Source organism: Homo sapiens, chromosome 14, assembly GCF_000001405.40.
Source record: "Homo sapiens chromosome 14, GRCh38.p14 Primary Assembly".
Taxonomy (NCBI): domain Eukaryota; kingdom Metazoa; phylum Chordata; class Mammalia; order Primates; family Hominidae; genus Homo; species Homo sapiens.
In genome coordinates, this window is record NC_000014.9 from 46852685 (window position 1) to 46869556 (window position 16872).

At 32.7% G+C, this 16872-nt stretch overlaps 1 protein-coding gene across 8 annotated transcripts in view; it reads right to left on the bottom strand.

The window, feature by feature from the left end:
* Positions 1–16872, bottom strand: part of MDGA2 (MAM domain containing glycosylphosphatidylinositol anchor 2) — an 835983-nt gene that overhangs the window by 13062 nt on the left and 806049 nt on the right. For all 8 annotated transcript variants that reach the window (XM_011536519.3, NM_182830.4, XM_047431048.1 and 5 more), the window contains one exon: positions 2340–2470. In XM_011536519.3, coding sequence (XP_011534821.1) covers positions 2340–2470 — 131 coding nt within the window. The remainder of the gene's footprint in view (positions 1–2339; positions 2471–16872) is intronic.

Consider the following 16872-nt stretch of genomic DNA (forward strand, 5'->3'; position numbering starts at 1 on the left):
GGAAAAACCTCATAATACATGGGACATTTGGTAGACGACTCAGAGTAGTCTTGCCTCCATCATGAAAAATAATTAGCCCTATACCAAACATTACTCTAGTCTCGCCTAAGAAATCTTAAAAGCAACACCTAAAATAATCAAACTCTTCTGAAGTAACTCAACTATCTTCCCTGAAAAAGCTCAAGAATACTTATAAGAATACAAAAATATGCAGCACCTATCAAGGTAACAGTCACAATATCTGGTACCCAATCAAATTACCAGACTTGTAAAAAAAATAACGAAAACAGTGATCCATTATGAGAAGAAAAATCAATCAACTGAAGCCAACCAAGAACTTATACAGATATTAGCAATAGCAAATAATGATTTAAAATGGTTATTATAACTGGATTTCATATATTCAAAATATTAACTAAAGACATACAAATATTTTTTAAAAGATTCAAATTGAACTTACAGAGATGAAAAATCCAATGACTTAGATGAAAAATACACTGAATAAAATTAAAAGTAAATTAGACATTGCAGAAGAAACTATTGTTGAATGTGAAGACATAATAAAAACTATCACAAATTAAACATAAATAGAAAAAAATGAAAATGCCTTAATGAGTTGTGTGACACTTTCAAGCAATTTTATGTATGTGTGATTGAAATCTTCGAAGGAGAAGAGGAGAAAAACCTCAAATTTTATGAAAACTATAAATCCACAGATCCAAGAAATTCAGTGAACACAAAGCACATATAGAAGGAAGAAAAATATATCAAAGCACATCACAATACAGTTTATAAATACGAATGATAAGGAAAATCTTAAAAGCAAACAGAGAAAAAGTCACATTACATACAGAAGAATAAATTTAAGGCTATCCACAGATTTATTCCTGGAAACAATGCAAACAAGAAGAGTATGGTACAATATCTGAAAAGTTCTAAAAAAAAAACAACAAGGATGCTATAATCAGTGGAAATCTTTCAAAAAATGTGTGGTATATTATGACCTTGGTATTTTTGTTTATTGTGAACTTTGCTGGAATTTTGTGTTGGAGAGGCAGTCATGTGGAAAGTGAAAGTATATCTATAATAATATCAACTTTTTAGAAAAAAATTGCTTTTTAATGACAATATCAGTATATACATCTTAATATTAAGGTTACTTCTATCAGTAATACTTTGGAATCCTGTCTTCCCAGTTTAATTTAGTTTGATGATATGTTGTCATTCATTTTCACAATTGTATTGATCTTCATAGAAACAAAATGATTATTTTTCAGAATCATATGGGAATAAATCTTTTATATATCTGTAGATAATTAGCCAGTCTTACTCTCTGATTGTTTATCATTGTGAATGACTATGTATTTTTATCATCCTGGTTTGATTTAGAAGTGCAATCTCCAAAGCAATTAGAATTTATAGATTAGATTACAAGAAAAGGTCATTCCACCAATTAAAAACTGGCACGATTTTCTATACCCTTACAACATATGCCATGAAATGCATAAAAAAAATCACTAGTAGATTCAATGCTATAAATATAATGTCATGAAATAGATTTGAATTCTTTTGAAATAAAGCATAGAGCTGTATAAGATATATGTCATAGACTTTGAAGATATTTTACCATATTTTTAAAATATAAAAATATTTGGATATGTATATATTTATATATGTATATATGTTTATACACATTAAAATCATTAAACAGTATATTAACTCCACTGAAATAGCTTAATGATCTGTTGTCTCTAGCTATCATGGCCAGTGTGGCAGTCTTTACAATTTCTATATCTTTACTGGTAACTCTCTTAGCTAACTCTCTAAGCTTTACTTCTTTTCTATATAGAAACAAAGAAAAATAACTTATTTAAAGTCATCTTAATTTTAATAATCACTGATCAATTACTGATATGGCATTAAATCAGAAGGAACTTTTTGTTGTAAGTATATAAAATTTAATCAAGAAAAATTCAAACAGATTGAGAATTGATTACCAAGTTCCATTATTATAGAAACTTATAATAATTTTTTTTTCAGGGAGTAAAATATAAGCATGTGATTTTATAGAAATGGATTACATTTTTTCCAGGAAAATCATTTAAATTTTGATAAAGTATTATTCAAACCAATTACTTGATGAGTATTAATGAATAAAGGAAAAGCGCATTTATCTTTATAAAACAGCTTTTAGAACTAAAGCAAAACCTAATCATATAATTTTTGTGATGCTTATATCGTGGAATTTCTGAATATTCATATTTTAATATTTGCTCAAGATCCACCTTTAATATTATGCTCATTTACAGCAATTAATTAGCCAAAACTACTTTTCTTACCTGAAATGAAGTAATTGGGTATATATTAACATGAGCCTCATTCCATCTTTGTCCTTTATTCCCACTTGAAGACCACAGTGGATTCTCTATTGTTGTTTGCCCTTTCAAACGTAGATAAACATTTAAGACACCTAAAAATGACAATAAAATTTTATTTTGCATATTCATTTTCACCTCAAATTTGTTTTTCCTTGACCAAACACTTGTAAACTTTTTAAACTGAAATTTTACAGAACACTCTAGTGTCTTGTCCTCTCTTCTCCTCTCATTTCCTATCTTGCTCTTATGACATTTGACATTTGATCCAAAAGTAACCATCTCCTAATTCCCTAGAACATGTGCATGTTGCCTGATATTGCAAAAGGGATTTAAGGATTTTGCAATGGGGAGATTATTCTAGATTATTAGGGTGAGTCCTAAATGCAATTACATATAGCTTTATAAAACAGAGGCAGAGGGAGATTTGATACAGGAAAGAAGGCCATGAGAGATAGAGATGTTACATGGCTGGTTTCCAAGATGGAGGAAGGGGCTACAAGGACTACTGGCAGCTTCTTGAAGCTAGTAAAGGCAAAGGAAAGGGCTTCTTTCCTGGAGCTTCAGAAGAAGTCAGCCCTGCTGACATCTTGATTTTAGGCCCAGAATGCTTTTTTTAAATTTCTGTTCTCCAGAATGATAAGCTAATAAATTTGTGTTGTTTTAGATCATGAAGTTGGTGATCATTTGTTATTTGTTACAGTAGCAAGAGGAAATTAACATAGCATGTAATCATGTACTGAATAACTTGCTCAGAGTTGGACTCTAATTCTGTCGTCTTATATTATCATTTAGCATCTTATTTTTTCAGTTTGATTTTTACCTGTCTCATTTTTCTTCTAAAAGAGTTATTGGAAAATAAAATGAAGATAGCTTTTATCTCATTATTTGATATCTCTCTTTCAATAGTTTAATGTGCTGTACACAGTAATGATATTAATGATGATAATGATATTAATACAATAAATATATATCAAACACTTACTCCAGATGAGGAATTAATCCTCTCAACAATCCTATGAAGTACTTATTATTATTATCCCCACATTATAGATGAGAAAACTTAGAGGGGTTAAACAATTTGCTCTATGTCATACAGTAAGAAAATAGCACAAGCAGGATTTGAACTCAGGGAGTTTCAGAGTCTTACATCTTAATCACTAGGCAATCAATATTTTACTAGATAATTTTAAAAATCAACTGTATTGAGGCAAAATTTACATGCAATAAAATTCATTCATTTCTATGTGTTCAGGCCAATAGTTTTAGACTAATGTCTACTATAATGTTAGTACTTGATCAAGATAAAATCAATGCATCTTGATTGTATCAATGTTCAAGATACAGAACATTTCCATTTCCTCAAACAATTTTCTCACTTTCCTCTGTAGTTTATCTTCCCAGCCACCCTCCCTTTGCTAGATAACTAGTAATCAGGCTTCTATCACTAATCAATGATTTCTTTTATAGAGTGTCATATTAATGGAATTAGGCATTATATAATTTTTGTGTGTTTGGTGAGTTTCCCTAAGCGTAATATTGATGATATTTATGTTATTGTTTTCTTAGTCATTTTAAATTCAATGTTTAGTTTACTTATGTTTAATGTAGCTATTGATGTGTTTATACTTAAATATACCATCCTGTTGGTTTGCATTTCTTTCTTCTGTTTTTCCTTCTCCCTCTCTCCTTCCATTCCTTTTTATCAGGAACTGATTTTTTTCAGGATTTATAAAAAAATAAAAATTTAAGATTTCAATTTATTTACTCTACTGACTTAACTTTATCTCCTTTTACTATGCGTTAGTGATTATTTTAGAGTTAAGATATAACTTCTCAGAGTCTAATTAGAGTCAATATTTTACTTCTTCATATCTACAAGTCATAATTCAAACTCCCTTCAGATGTTCCACTATTACCTTATCCTATTCACTTCACTTTCTATATCTCACTCCACAAATGTAACAACCTTACACAACATTATAATTCATTTATCTGCCCCATTTCTTTACTCAAATATATCTTTTACTTTTGTTTACATTGTAAACCTTACCTTCCGGTACTATTTTTTAAGAGCCAGATATGAATATATTTTCTATAAATTATAAGAAGAAAGGAAATATGGCGTTTCAATTTCCACTTATTTCCATTTCTGGTGGTTTACATTTCTACCTGTAGATATGAGTTACAATCTGGCACCCATGGCCCAAAGGGCATCCCTTAGCATTTTTTGCAGTGGTGAGCTTCTAGGGACAATATTTCTCTGATTCCTTTAAGTAAAAATATTCTCATTTCTCTCATATTTCTTGTGAGGTTTAGAATTCAGGCGGGTTTTTTTTCCACGTATTAAAGGTGTTCCATTATCTTCTGCATGCTATTTCTAATGTGAAGTAAACCATCATTTATTTTTGTTTGTCTTGTATATAGTATGCTTTTCTTTCTCTTTCAGGCTGCTTTAGAGAATTTCCCTTTGGTTTGCAGTAGTTGATTGTGATGAATGTAAATACGGTTTTCTTTAGATTCATCTTGCTCAGGGTTATGCTGAGTTTCTTCTAAGTCTTTTCCATTAATTCTTTTTAAAATTTGTTTTATTTTATCTTATTCTTTTTTTAAGAGATGGGGTCTTGCTCTGTCACCCAGACTGGTGTGCAGTGGTGCCATGGCACCTCACAGCAGCCTCAAACTCCTGGGCTCAAGGGATCTTCCCACCTCAGCTTCCAAAGTAGCTAGTACTACAGGGGCACCCCAACATGCCTAGCTAATTTATTTATCTTTTTTTATGAATGGGGTCTCTCCATCTTACTCAGGTAGATCTCCAACTGAGTTCAAGCAATCCTCCTGCCTTGGCTTCCCAAAGTTTTTGGGATTACAGACTTGAGTTACCACGCCTGGTCCCATTATTTCTAACAATATTTTCTGCCACATGTCTCTTTCCTCTCTTTTGCACAATTAACTTATATATAAATCCTTAAATATATATGTATATTAAAGTACATATATATAAAAGTACTTATATATAATGTAACTTGATATTCTTGTATAGGTCATTATGGCTCTGTTTATTTTTCTTCAATATTTTCCCCTATTTTCTCAAATTGGAAAATTTTCTTTGTCTTCAAGTTCACTGACTTTTTTTTTTCTGTCATCTCCAGTCTTCTGTTAAGCCCACCCAGTAAATTTTTTTGTTTATTGTACTTTGTAGTATAATTCTTATTTAGTCCTAGCCCTTTAGTATAGTTTCTCTTTCTCTGCTGAACTTCTTTATCCATTCACGCATTTTATTTCCTTTGATTCTTTCAGCACATTCTGTTATTTCACGGAACACATTTATAATACTTTTTTTCTTTTCTTTTTCTTTTTCTTTTTTTCTTTTTTTTTTTTTTTTTGAGACGGAGTCTCGCTCTGTCTCCCAGGCTGAAGTGCAGTGGCGCGATCTCGGCTCACTGAAAGCTCCGCCTCCCGGGTTCACGCCATTCTCCTGCCTCAGCCTCCCGAGTAGCTGGGACTACAGGCGCCTGTTACCACACCCGGCTAATTTTTTGTATTTTTAGTAGAGATGGGGTTTCACCGTGTTAGCCAGAATGGTCTCGATCTCCCGACCTCGTGATCCACCAGCCTTGGCCTCTCAAAGTGCTGGGATTACAGGCGTGAGCCACCGTGCCCGGCCTATAATACCTTCTTTAAAGCCTCTATCTGCTAAGTCCAAAGTCTAACTTTCTTAAGTTTGGTTTCTACGAACTGATGTTAACTTTTTATGGCTATGAATCATATATTCTATTTATTTGGATATCTAGTTACTTTCAGTGAGTAATGGGCATTGTAGATAGAACATTATAGAGACTCTTCAGCTGTAATCTTTCTCAGAAGGCTATTGGCTCCTGTTATAGCAAAATGTTCAGTTATAAATTGACCATGCTGAACTTGTATAGGCTTGGTTTTCCACTACTAATGCAGATCTGTGAAAAGCCAAAATTGTTGCCCTAAATTCTCTAACTTTATGGGACTCAATCTCTAAATCTGTCTTACCTATGAATCTTACTGGGGCTTGCATTTAGTTTAGGCTGTTTTGGAGAATGTCTAGAGAAGGCCTTTCTCCCAAGTATGATTCTAGCCTTTCTGGTTTCATTGTGCTGCCAGGGGTTTTATGAGATCTCTACACTCTCATGAAGTTTCATGGCTGAGACTTCAATATTCCATGCTGCTCTCCTCTCAGGTCTCCTTGCTCTCCCCACCTTTGTTGTGCTGTCAATCTCACAAAGGTTGCTGTATTATAAGTCTTGGTTTTTCTAGTTTTCTACATGTACAGTCTAGCCTTCAGCAAATAGTCATGAGGGAACCCCATACAGACTTTTGGATTCAACCCTGCATATCTTTTTTCTTTCTGTTACCCTGACCCACAGATTCCAATGACATCAATTGTACAGTACACTAATCTTTGTTTTCTGACTGACTGGGATCTTCACATTCTGCTTGAATTTCTGGGATCTGTGGCAAGGTCAGGAAATTTTCCTCAGGCAGAGAACTTGACTGTCATGGAGATCACTCCATTAGTTTCTCTTTTCTCATCCATTGCAGTCCTACCCTGTTTTTTGGTCTATTCTCTAAAAAATGGTTTCTAATATATTTTGCCCATTTTTATGCTTGTTTAGGGCAACAGGACTTATCTGATATCATTTACTACTCCTTGGCCTTTAGATGATCTCATTTTGATTACAGATAATGATATAAATTAGTAATATGTTAATATATACGCTTCACAATATACATATAAACTTTACATATAATGTAGTATATAAACTTATTTATATGAATATGCTACATAAATTCTAATGAACAGAAAAGACAATATAACATTATCATTAAATCACTCAGAGGGTAGCCTTCTTAACATTTTGGTGTATGTTGCTTTAGCCTTTAAAAAATATTTACCTGCTTATGTATCGTTATATGATATAGAGTAGCTTATCCTTCAACTTTTTAAAGAAATTTTCTTTAATTATTTACACATAAGACCACATGTATGCATATAATAGAAGTATATAAATATGGGTATCCACTTTTTAAGCAAAAACTGCATTCTTTATATCACAGCTGGATGACTCTGGCTTCATCTCTAAATCTCTCATTCCCTCAACTTCTTCATCAGGCAAATGGTAACTAAATGATGATAACTAGCATAAGTTTTTAGTGAGAATTAAAGTATGTAAACCATATATTATTTCTCATATAATCAGCACATTTATTATTATATAAAATATTCAACTAAGGTTTCTCTATTCCTCTATTGATGTGTTAGGTTATATTAATGCATTCCATAATGTTGAACTAATCGTATATTACAGAAATAAAATGTACTTTATAATAGACCACTGACTTTTTTTTATAAGGCTGAATCAATTTGCTAGTATTTTATTTTGGAATAATTCATGGATATTTGTCCTTATGGTTCTCCAGTTTTCTTTTTTGATTTTATCTTTCAGTGTTGCATTTTCACTTTTTGCTTCAAAATTACCTTCTATCATTTTTCCTCTTCAGGGTAAGAAAGAATCTCAAACTTGTCTTCCACAGAACTGACTTTAATTTCCAAACCATATTGTTTTTTTCTGTTGTTTTGTTTCCAATGTCATCTTTATTCTGCTATTATACTATTTAAAGTGTATCACTCTTTTGTGACCTCACAGAATTCTCCTTTATATCTAGACTTTATCCAGTTCCATCTTTTTCTTGGTCCACTGTTCTCTTATATTCTTTCGTAAAGTTCATATTCTTATATGCTTTGTTAAATATATAAAGCATATGCTGTACACATTTTACTTTCACTTGAAGTAATTCAGTAAGTCTTTTTCACCAGTATATGTTTCTTCTACTATGTGCCATGTGAGCCAGTTTTTATTCTATGGAATCTTCATTAGAACCTCATGTTTTTCCTCTCTCCATTTTCTTCCTCTTTATTCATTCTTGAATAATAAGAAGTAATCCTTTGGCATTTTTCACCAGACAATTTTTGAGGCTTCTCTTATACCCTTTCATATAGAGTTTTATTTCTCTTGGGTTGCATGACCTTTTATTTTGATTTAATTGACAGGAAATACATCCAATCAAGAAATGCACTTTTTAAAAAACATTAAAAGAATATTTTTAAGACCTATTATAGTTTGCTAACAAAATAGTGCATACTATATGTCCTTCAGAATTCATGCGTTTTAATAAATACATGATTTAGTAAAACATATTAATATGTGTGACTTATCTTTCTTATATCAGTAATTATAGGGTATCGTGCCAGTACTGAATATTGTTTCTCACTAAGGGAATTCTGTTTGCCTGTAATTATGTTTATATTTCTTAACATTTTCTTTTTACATATGTAATATAAATTCAAACTTGAGTTATTTCTATTTATGTTTGTTGAATACATAATATGTAAAAAAATATTTTGCCTAGGTTTAAAGAAGCCAGGTGTAAATTATCCCAGAGGTCTTATTAGGTTTGAGAATAGGCTAAACAAGGTGTATTCAATTGTGGCTAGATGTTATTTAAAAAGGTAAATTTTACTTGTTTGATAAGAAAAAGACACAAGAACTACAACTGATTGAAATAAATCTTTCAAATATAATTTCAATGTTTTACATATATAGTAATAATTATATGATTATCCCAGTCAGTGAATGCAAACTACTTATTACTGATATATTTTAGAGGTGATGAGAAAAGCAGTGTTAATCAACAAATGATTTTGGAACTTTTCTCCCAGGAAGTTTCTAGTTCTTAAGTTTATAAAAGAGAAATCAGTGCCAAAAGATATTTAAACTTATGTCAAGTCATCTTGGTCAACAAAATTAGAACTTGTGAAATAGAATAAAGCTATTCAAGAGAAGTTAGATTCAGCAAAGCTGATTCAGCACATTATAGTATTATAGTAAAAAAAACTCTGAAGTGAATATGATGGATTGTGTTAATACTCCTTAAAAGTAAGTTTAAATCCCCAGAGACACTGTGTTCATGCTTTAGTAGACATCAGATACCAAAACATATAAATTTAATCATCTCCAAGGATTTTCAATTTTATAGGATTTTTCAAATTCTATAGTTCTAGAATATAAGTTTGCAGAAGCTAAGCAAAACTCAAACTTTTTCTTTTCCTTAGTTTCTTAATTCTCATCTTTTGGTCACCACTCTCCAAAAATCAGGTGCTAGAGCTTAGAGGACTTTAGTCAGCTCTTATGTTTAAAGACTACAGGCAAAAAGGCTAAATGACACAAGTGCTGTCTTATCTCACGAATAATGGCCAAAACTTTGAGGTTATTCATGGCATTATGCAATAGCCTGATTATTATTTTAATATTATTTAATATATATTATAATATAAACTATAATTTGCATAAATAATATTTATCACTACTGTTAACCTAGTTCTCTTAAGTTCTTAACATAATTTTACTTTTAATTATTGTACTATAAATATGTATTATATATTTTAGATAAATAATTTAAGTATATGTCCTAAAATGTGCATACATATTCCCCATAGAGTCTTGAAATTGCCACATTTACATGAATTAATTTGCAATTTGGTATATTCTGAGGTCTGGAGATCACTTGCATACAAATCGCATTGTTATAATCAGTAACACAGACTTACTGAGTTTCACATTTCATGTAAAATGAGGATGTGCCAAAATCATCCAGCTCTAGGCAAGATCTATGTATATTGATAGGTAATTGCTAGCATCATTTGTTTTATACATACATACAAAGTGAGAAATTATAAAATCATTATTTTCTGCTTGAATAAAAACAGCTGCCCATGTCCATTGATATTTTTTCAACATATAATTGCAGTGCTATCCTAAATGAAAAATGCCAGTTTATTTTCTACAGTTATTACCATTCCTTCTGGTGCACAGGTGAATTTGTACATTAGAGTCCAAAATGTTTTTAAATTATAGCTTTCCTTTCTATTTCTCTGATGTAAGTCAGATCCCTTACGCTGACCTTTTCCCTCTTTAGTTCTATCACTTTCTCTACTCTTCCATAAGCACAGTATTCTCCATTGTCATACATTGGCTTTGTCCATTTCTCATATTCTTTGGCCTTTGTTCTCCACCTCCTATATAATTCCCTCTTTTGTAGGATGCTTTATATTTCTTCTCTTCCATAGACACTTTTATTTTAATGTACCCCTCAGTCTTCTCTCCCTTGTTCACCCACGCCATGGGCTTGTCCTACATTTTGATACATATTACTTTCTGACTTTTATTTTATTCAGAAATTTATTACCTCAAAAAGATGATGAACTATTTGATGAATAAAAAACTTTTATCATATTTGTCATTTATTCTCTATAGAATTCTAAACACTAGGATTAGGCACACAGCCTGTGCAATTCATCCTATTGAACAGAAATGAGTGAATTCAAACCTAAGGGTAAAAAATACCCATTGTAATAAATCCTTAATGTCAATGAAATTAGTTTTAAAGTTTGGTACACTGGATGAGAAACAGAAGCAGTTAACTCAATTGCTTACCATCAATTCAATTGATGAAATAATATTGTCTATTAATTATACTGAAAATTAGACTTATATGGTTTGAAGTAGCAGCCTTTCTCAGCTACTGTGTTCTCAGCCTTACTCAGTTCATATCATTAATTTTGCTTAAACACACTAGATTTTATTACATACATTGTCTAAGGGACCATCATCAATGAAGAATAGAAAAAAAATGAGTTTAGAAGTAGTTAGTGGTTCAAACCTGGATTCTAAAAAGATAAATGTATTAAAGATTACATATAGTTTTACTAGCAGGTCTATAACAAGTACCTGTAAAAAGAGTTTTATTATACATTGTCATAAGTCATGGCTAGATTCTATCCACCTCCTCAATTTTAAATTCATCTCATTTAACAAAGCAGTTACATATGTATACATGTGCCATGCTGGTGCGCTGCACCCACTAACTCGTCATCTAGCATTAGGTATATCTCCCGATGCTATCCCTCCCCCCTCCCCCCACCCCCCACCCCACAACAGTGAAAAGCCAAAGCTAATTAATAGTGTTAAAACAGTCCAGTGCTTCCCTAGGGTGAGAGTGGTGGGAGGAGATTGGAGAAAGGGACAGAAAAGTTTTGGAATGGTAGAAATATTGTATGCATTGATGTGAGGGTGGTTAAATGAGTGTATGCATTTGTCAAAACTCATCACACTTCACTTAAAATTTGTACCTTTTGTTATATGTAAATTATTTCTAAATAATGTTGACTTACAAAACTAGAAGTGATGCTTAGTCAATCTAATACTTCAAACATTCTAACTTAATTATTTTGCCTTATTTTTATGTCTTTACATTTTAGTTCTTTACATTTTAGTTCCTATAAGTCTGGTTTTTATTGCTTTCTGTAAAAGGATGTACTAGACTCCAAATTGAGAGTTGTAAACACACAAATACTGACATATCTTGTTTTGTTGCGCTTTGCAGATATTGCTGTTTTTTTTTTTTTTTTTTTTTTTTTTTACAAATTAAAGGTTTGTTGTAACCCTGTGTCAAAAAAAAAAAAAAAAAAAGCAGTTTACTGAATGAATGTCTTCCATCTATAGCATTATTTTCACATTTACAGCATTGGCATTATCAGCATTAAATACCAACAGGACTTCACTGAGAGCATAGACTAATTCTTAACAGAAAGCGTGACTTAATATCAACTATTATCAAACAGCTCACAGTTTGGTAGTTATTCCCTAATATCTAAATGGAGAACACTAAGGAGCCTTATCTATCCCCTCAGCCACCTAAGAGTTGTCTTCTTCAAGGAACTTAATTCTGAGAATTTATCAGAATGCAAGTACCTTAATATTTTATATTTATTCCACTGAGATTCTCCTAGAGTCAGTGAAATCAAGGCTTTAAAATAATGGCTCCTTATCTTAACATTCTTTCTCATATGGCGTTTAACTCCAAGGGAAAAAAAATCCCAATATGTGAGCTGATTTCCTATTTGAGAATATATTTGATATGTAAGCAAGAATCTTGACATTTTGAATTCTAATCAGAAGAAATACAGTCTTTGACCAAAATGAGAATAAAAATCAAACTCATAAAATCATGCAAAATACCATCTTTGCTTTCTCAATATCTTGTATAAAAATATTTAAGTTCCTAGTTTAAAATCCTTGAATGCCAGCATATCTGTTAGAAAGCATTAATCCATTCTTGCAAAACTCTTGATTAATCCACATGATTATCTCAATAGATGCAGAAAAGGCCTTTGACAAAATTCAACAACGCTTCATGCTAAAAACTCTCAATCAATTAGGTATTGATGGGACGTATCTCAAAATAATAAGAGCTATCTATGACAAACCCACAGCCAATATCATACTGAATGGGCAAAAACTGGAAACATTCCCTTTGAAAACTGGCACAAGACAGGGATGCCCTCTCTCACCAGTCCTATTCAACATAGTGTTGGAAGTTCTGGCCAGGGCAATTAGGCAGGAGAAGGAAATAAAGGGTATTCAATTAGGAAAAGAGGAAGTCAAATTGTCCCTGTTTGCAGACGACATGATTGTATATCTAGAAAACCCCATTGTCTCAGCCCAAAATCTCCTGAAGCTGATAAGCAACTTCAGCAAAGTCTCAGGATACAAAATCGATGTACAAAAATCACAAGCATTCTTATACACCAATAACAGATGAACAGAGAGCCAAATCATGAGTGAACTCCCATTCACAATTGCTTCAAAGAGAATAAAATACCTAGCAATCCAACTTACAAGGGATGTGAAGGACCTCTTCAAGGAGAACTACAAACCACTGCTCAATGAAATAAAAGAGGATACAAACAAATGGAAGAACATTCCATGCTCATGGGTAGGAAGAATCAATATCATGAAAATGGCCATACTGCCCAAGGTAATTTATAGATTCAATGCCATCCCCATCAAGCTACCAATGACTTTCTTCACAGAATTGGAAAAAACTACTTTAAAGTTCATATGGAACCAAAAAAGAGCCCGCATCACCAAGTCAATCCTAAGCCAAAAGAACAAAGCTGGAGGCATCACACTACCTGACTTCAAACTATACTTCAAGGCTACAGTAACCAAAACAGCATGGTACTGGTACCAAAACAGAGATATAGATCAATGGAACAGAACAGAGCCCTCAGAAATAATGCCACATATCCACAACTATCTGATCTTTGACAAACCTGAGAAAAACAAGCAATGGGGAAAGGATTCCCTATTTAATAAATGGTGCTGGGAAAACTGGCTAGCCATATGTAGAAAGCTGAAACTGGATTCCTTCCTTACACCTTATACAAAAATCAATTAAAGATGGATTAAAGACTTAAACGTTAGACCTAAAACCATAAAAACCCTAGAAGAAAACCTAGGCATTACCATTCAGGACATAGGCTGGGCAAGGACTTCATGTCTAAAACACTGAAAGCAATGGCAACCAAAGCCAAAATTGACAAATGGGATCTAATTAAACTAAAGAGCTTCTGCACAGCAGAAGAAACTACCACCAGAGTGAACAGGCAACCTACAAAATGGGAGAAAATTTTTGCAACCTACTCATCTGACAAAGGGCTAATATCCAGAATCTACAATGAACTCAAACAAATTTACAAGAAAAAAAAAAACAACCCCATCAGAAAGTGGGCGAAGGACATGAACAGACACTTCTCAAAAGAAGACATTTATGCAGCCAAAAAACACATGAAAAAATGCTCACCATCACTGGCCATCAGAGAAATGCAAATCAAAACCACAATCAGATACCATCTCGCACCAGTTAGAATGGCAATCATTAAAAAGTCAGAAAACAACAGATGCTGGAGAGGATGTGGAGAAATAGGAACACTTTTACACTGTTGGTGGGACTGTAAACTAGTTCAACCATTGTGGAAGTCAGTGTGGCGATTCCTCAGGGATCTAGAACTAGAAATACCATTTGACCCAGCCATCCCATTACTGGGTATATACTCAAAGGACTATAAATCATGCTGCTATAAAGACGCATGCACATGTATGTTTATTGTGGCACTTTTCACAACAGCAAAGACTTGGAACCAACCCAAATGTCCAACAATGATAGACTGGATTAAGAAAATGTGGCACACATACACCATGGAATACTATGCAGCCATAAAAAATGATGAGTTCATGTACTTTGTAAGGACATGGATGAAATTGGAAATCATCATTCTCAGTAAACTATCGCAAGAACAAAAAACCAAACACCGCATATTCTCACTCATAGGTGGGAATTGAACAATGAGATCACATGGACACAGCAAGGGGAACATCACACTCTGGGGACTGTTGTGGGGTGGGGGGAGAGGGGAGGTATAGCACTGGGAGATATACCTAATGCTAGATGACGAGTTAGTGGGTGCAGCGCACCAGCATGGCACATGTATACATATGTAACTAACCTGCACATTGTGCACATGTACCCTAAAACTTAAAGTATAATAATAATAAAAAAAGAGAAACTTAATGATTAGTTAATTTCAGATTCTTTACATTCCTTCTCTACATTAAGTTAGATCATCATAAGGTGACATACCTGGTCCTTAATATTTCAGCTGAAAACAAAAATGTTATTTTATCCTGTATTATGGTTTATCAATATATTAAATTTTTATTTGAACAAGTTTTATATCTTTATCCTTTATATGAATATCTTAGTAAGTAAAGATATTGCTGGTAACATTACTCAAGTGTACTTTTATAATATGCATTTCTCTTTGCATTAATTGTTAAGAATATGTGACACTTTTGCTTTTCTTTTTACTTTAGTTGCCAGAGCATATAGATGAAAATTCAAGTTAAGTCAATAATAAACTTCATCTTCTGTCTGTTTTTTTTTTTACAATCTATAATGTCTTAATGAAACTACCTTCTATTTCCAAACTAAACTGCATACTTTCAATTCCCTTGTTTTGTTATTCTAGTATATCCAGAAGCAAAAGAATCTAGTTTGGATCATTCTTTAAATCTATTGTGTAAATGTTGTTTCCGAGAATCAAATGTAAATAAATCATGGTTACTGCTCTCAAGGAGTTTACAATTTTACAGGGGTCAGTGTGATAAACATTATGATAGGTATACATATCAGGAGTTTTGGGAACAAAAGGAGCAGAGAAGATAGGAAAGAATTTCAGCATATATCCCTGAATTGCTTTTTTAAGGAAGGTTATGCATGACTTAGATGATTAAACAGGAGAAAAAGTACTTATTCAATTAGATAAACAAATATTTATTAATTTTTTTGGGGGAGTACTTGAATATTTACATGCAGGGCAGGGTGTCATCAGAAGAGACATCATTTCTACTCCCATCAAGCCTACAGTTCAGCAGGACAAAAGAGACAGCCTGTGAAGAGGCTTCAGGCACAAGAGAGCTTTACCCGAAAAACTTCAAGTATGACTGGAACAGACTATGAAGCTACCCCAAGGAAAAGCCAGAGGGGCATATATCCTTGAGGTCCTGTTACTGCTTTTAGAGAAAGATCTTTACCCTGGAAGCTATGGACTTTTTAAAAAAGACAGCAAGAAAATCAGTTAGCAAGCGAAATGCAGTACTACGCACAGATGGGGACTCAAACTGGCCATTATATTCCAAAATGCGTTTCAGAAACCTACAGATTGATGTCCTCATCTCCAACCTCTCCAGCTGTCTCTATATTGTCAGTTACTTTGTGCTCCCATTTACCACTCTCCTAAAGCTATCTCCTCTTTGAACATGTACCTCTGTATCTGTTTTGCAGAGAAAATGGAGACTGTTAGGAAGGCAACTTCCATGTCAGCTTGCTGTTATTGCAGCTAGAAATCTATCAGAAGCCATGTTACTATTAATACTGAATTCTTTTTTTTACCGCTTTAGTGGAAATGGCATCAGTTTCTCTCTTAAAAGTCTCATTCCACAGCCAGAGCTCTAAATTCCCATCTAAGCTTACCCTTTTTATTACCTCTTTTTCCTCTTAAAATAAGCCCTTCTACAATCCCACATCTCTATTTATCAGTTCTTTTACAGTCTCCTGCTTCTTCATTAATGAACTCCTTTGCTTTCCCCCTGTTTACTCCATAGTGGAATTAGCTTTCTAGAGACACAACTTTATTGAACCATTCGTATCAAGTACAATGAATGTATTCATAAGTGCCTTAATTTCCTGATATGATATGACCTTTACATTGCACATTCTTTTTTTAAAGAAATGAATGATGCATTTAACTTATTTTTAATACACTTTTGTCATATCTAGTGATCTCCTATGAGATTCTTTTTTTTTTTTTTTTTTGCAAGAACATTAGAAATTCAGTGGATTCATCGAGAATTGAAATGTCCATTAGTAGTCACAGGAATGCTGAAAGAATCTTTTATTATTATCATGGCCAGATGTTGTATCACTTACATATAAATCAGCAGGTACTTTAAGGATAACATTATAGTTTTCATTTGGAAACATGTTTTTTTCTTCAATCAAT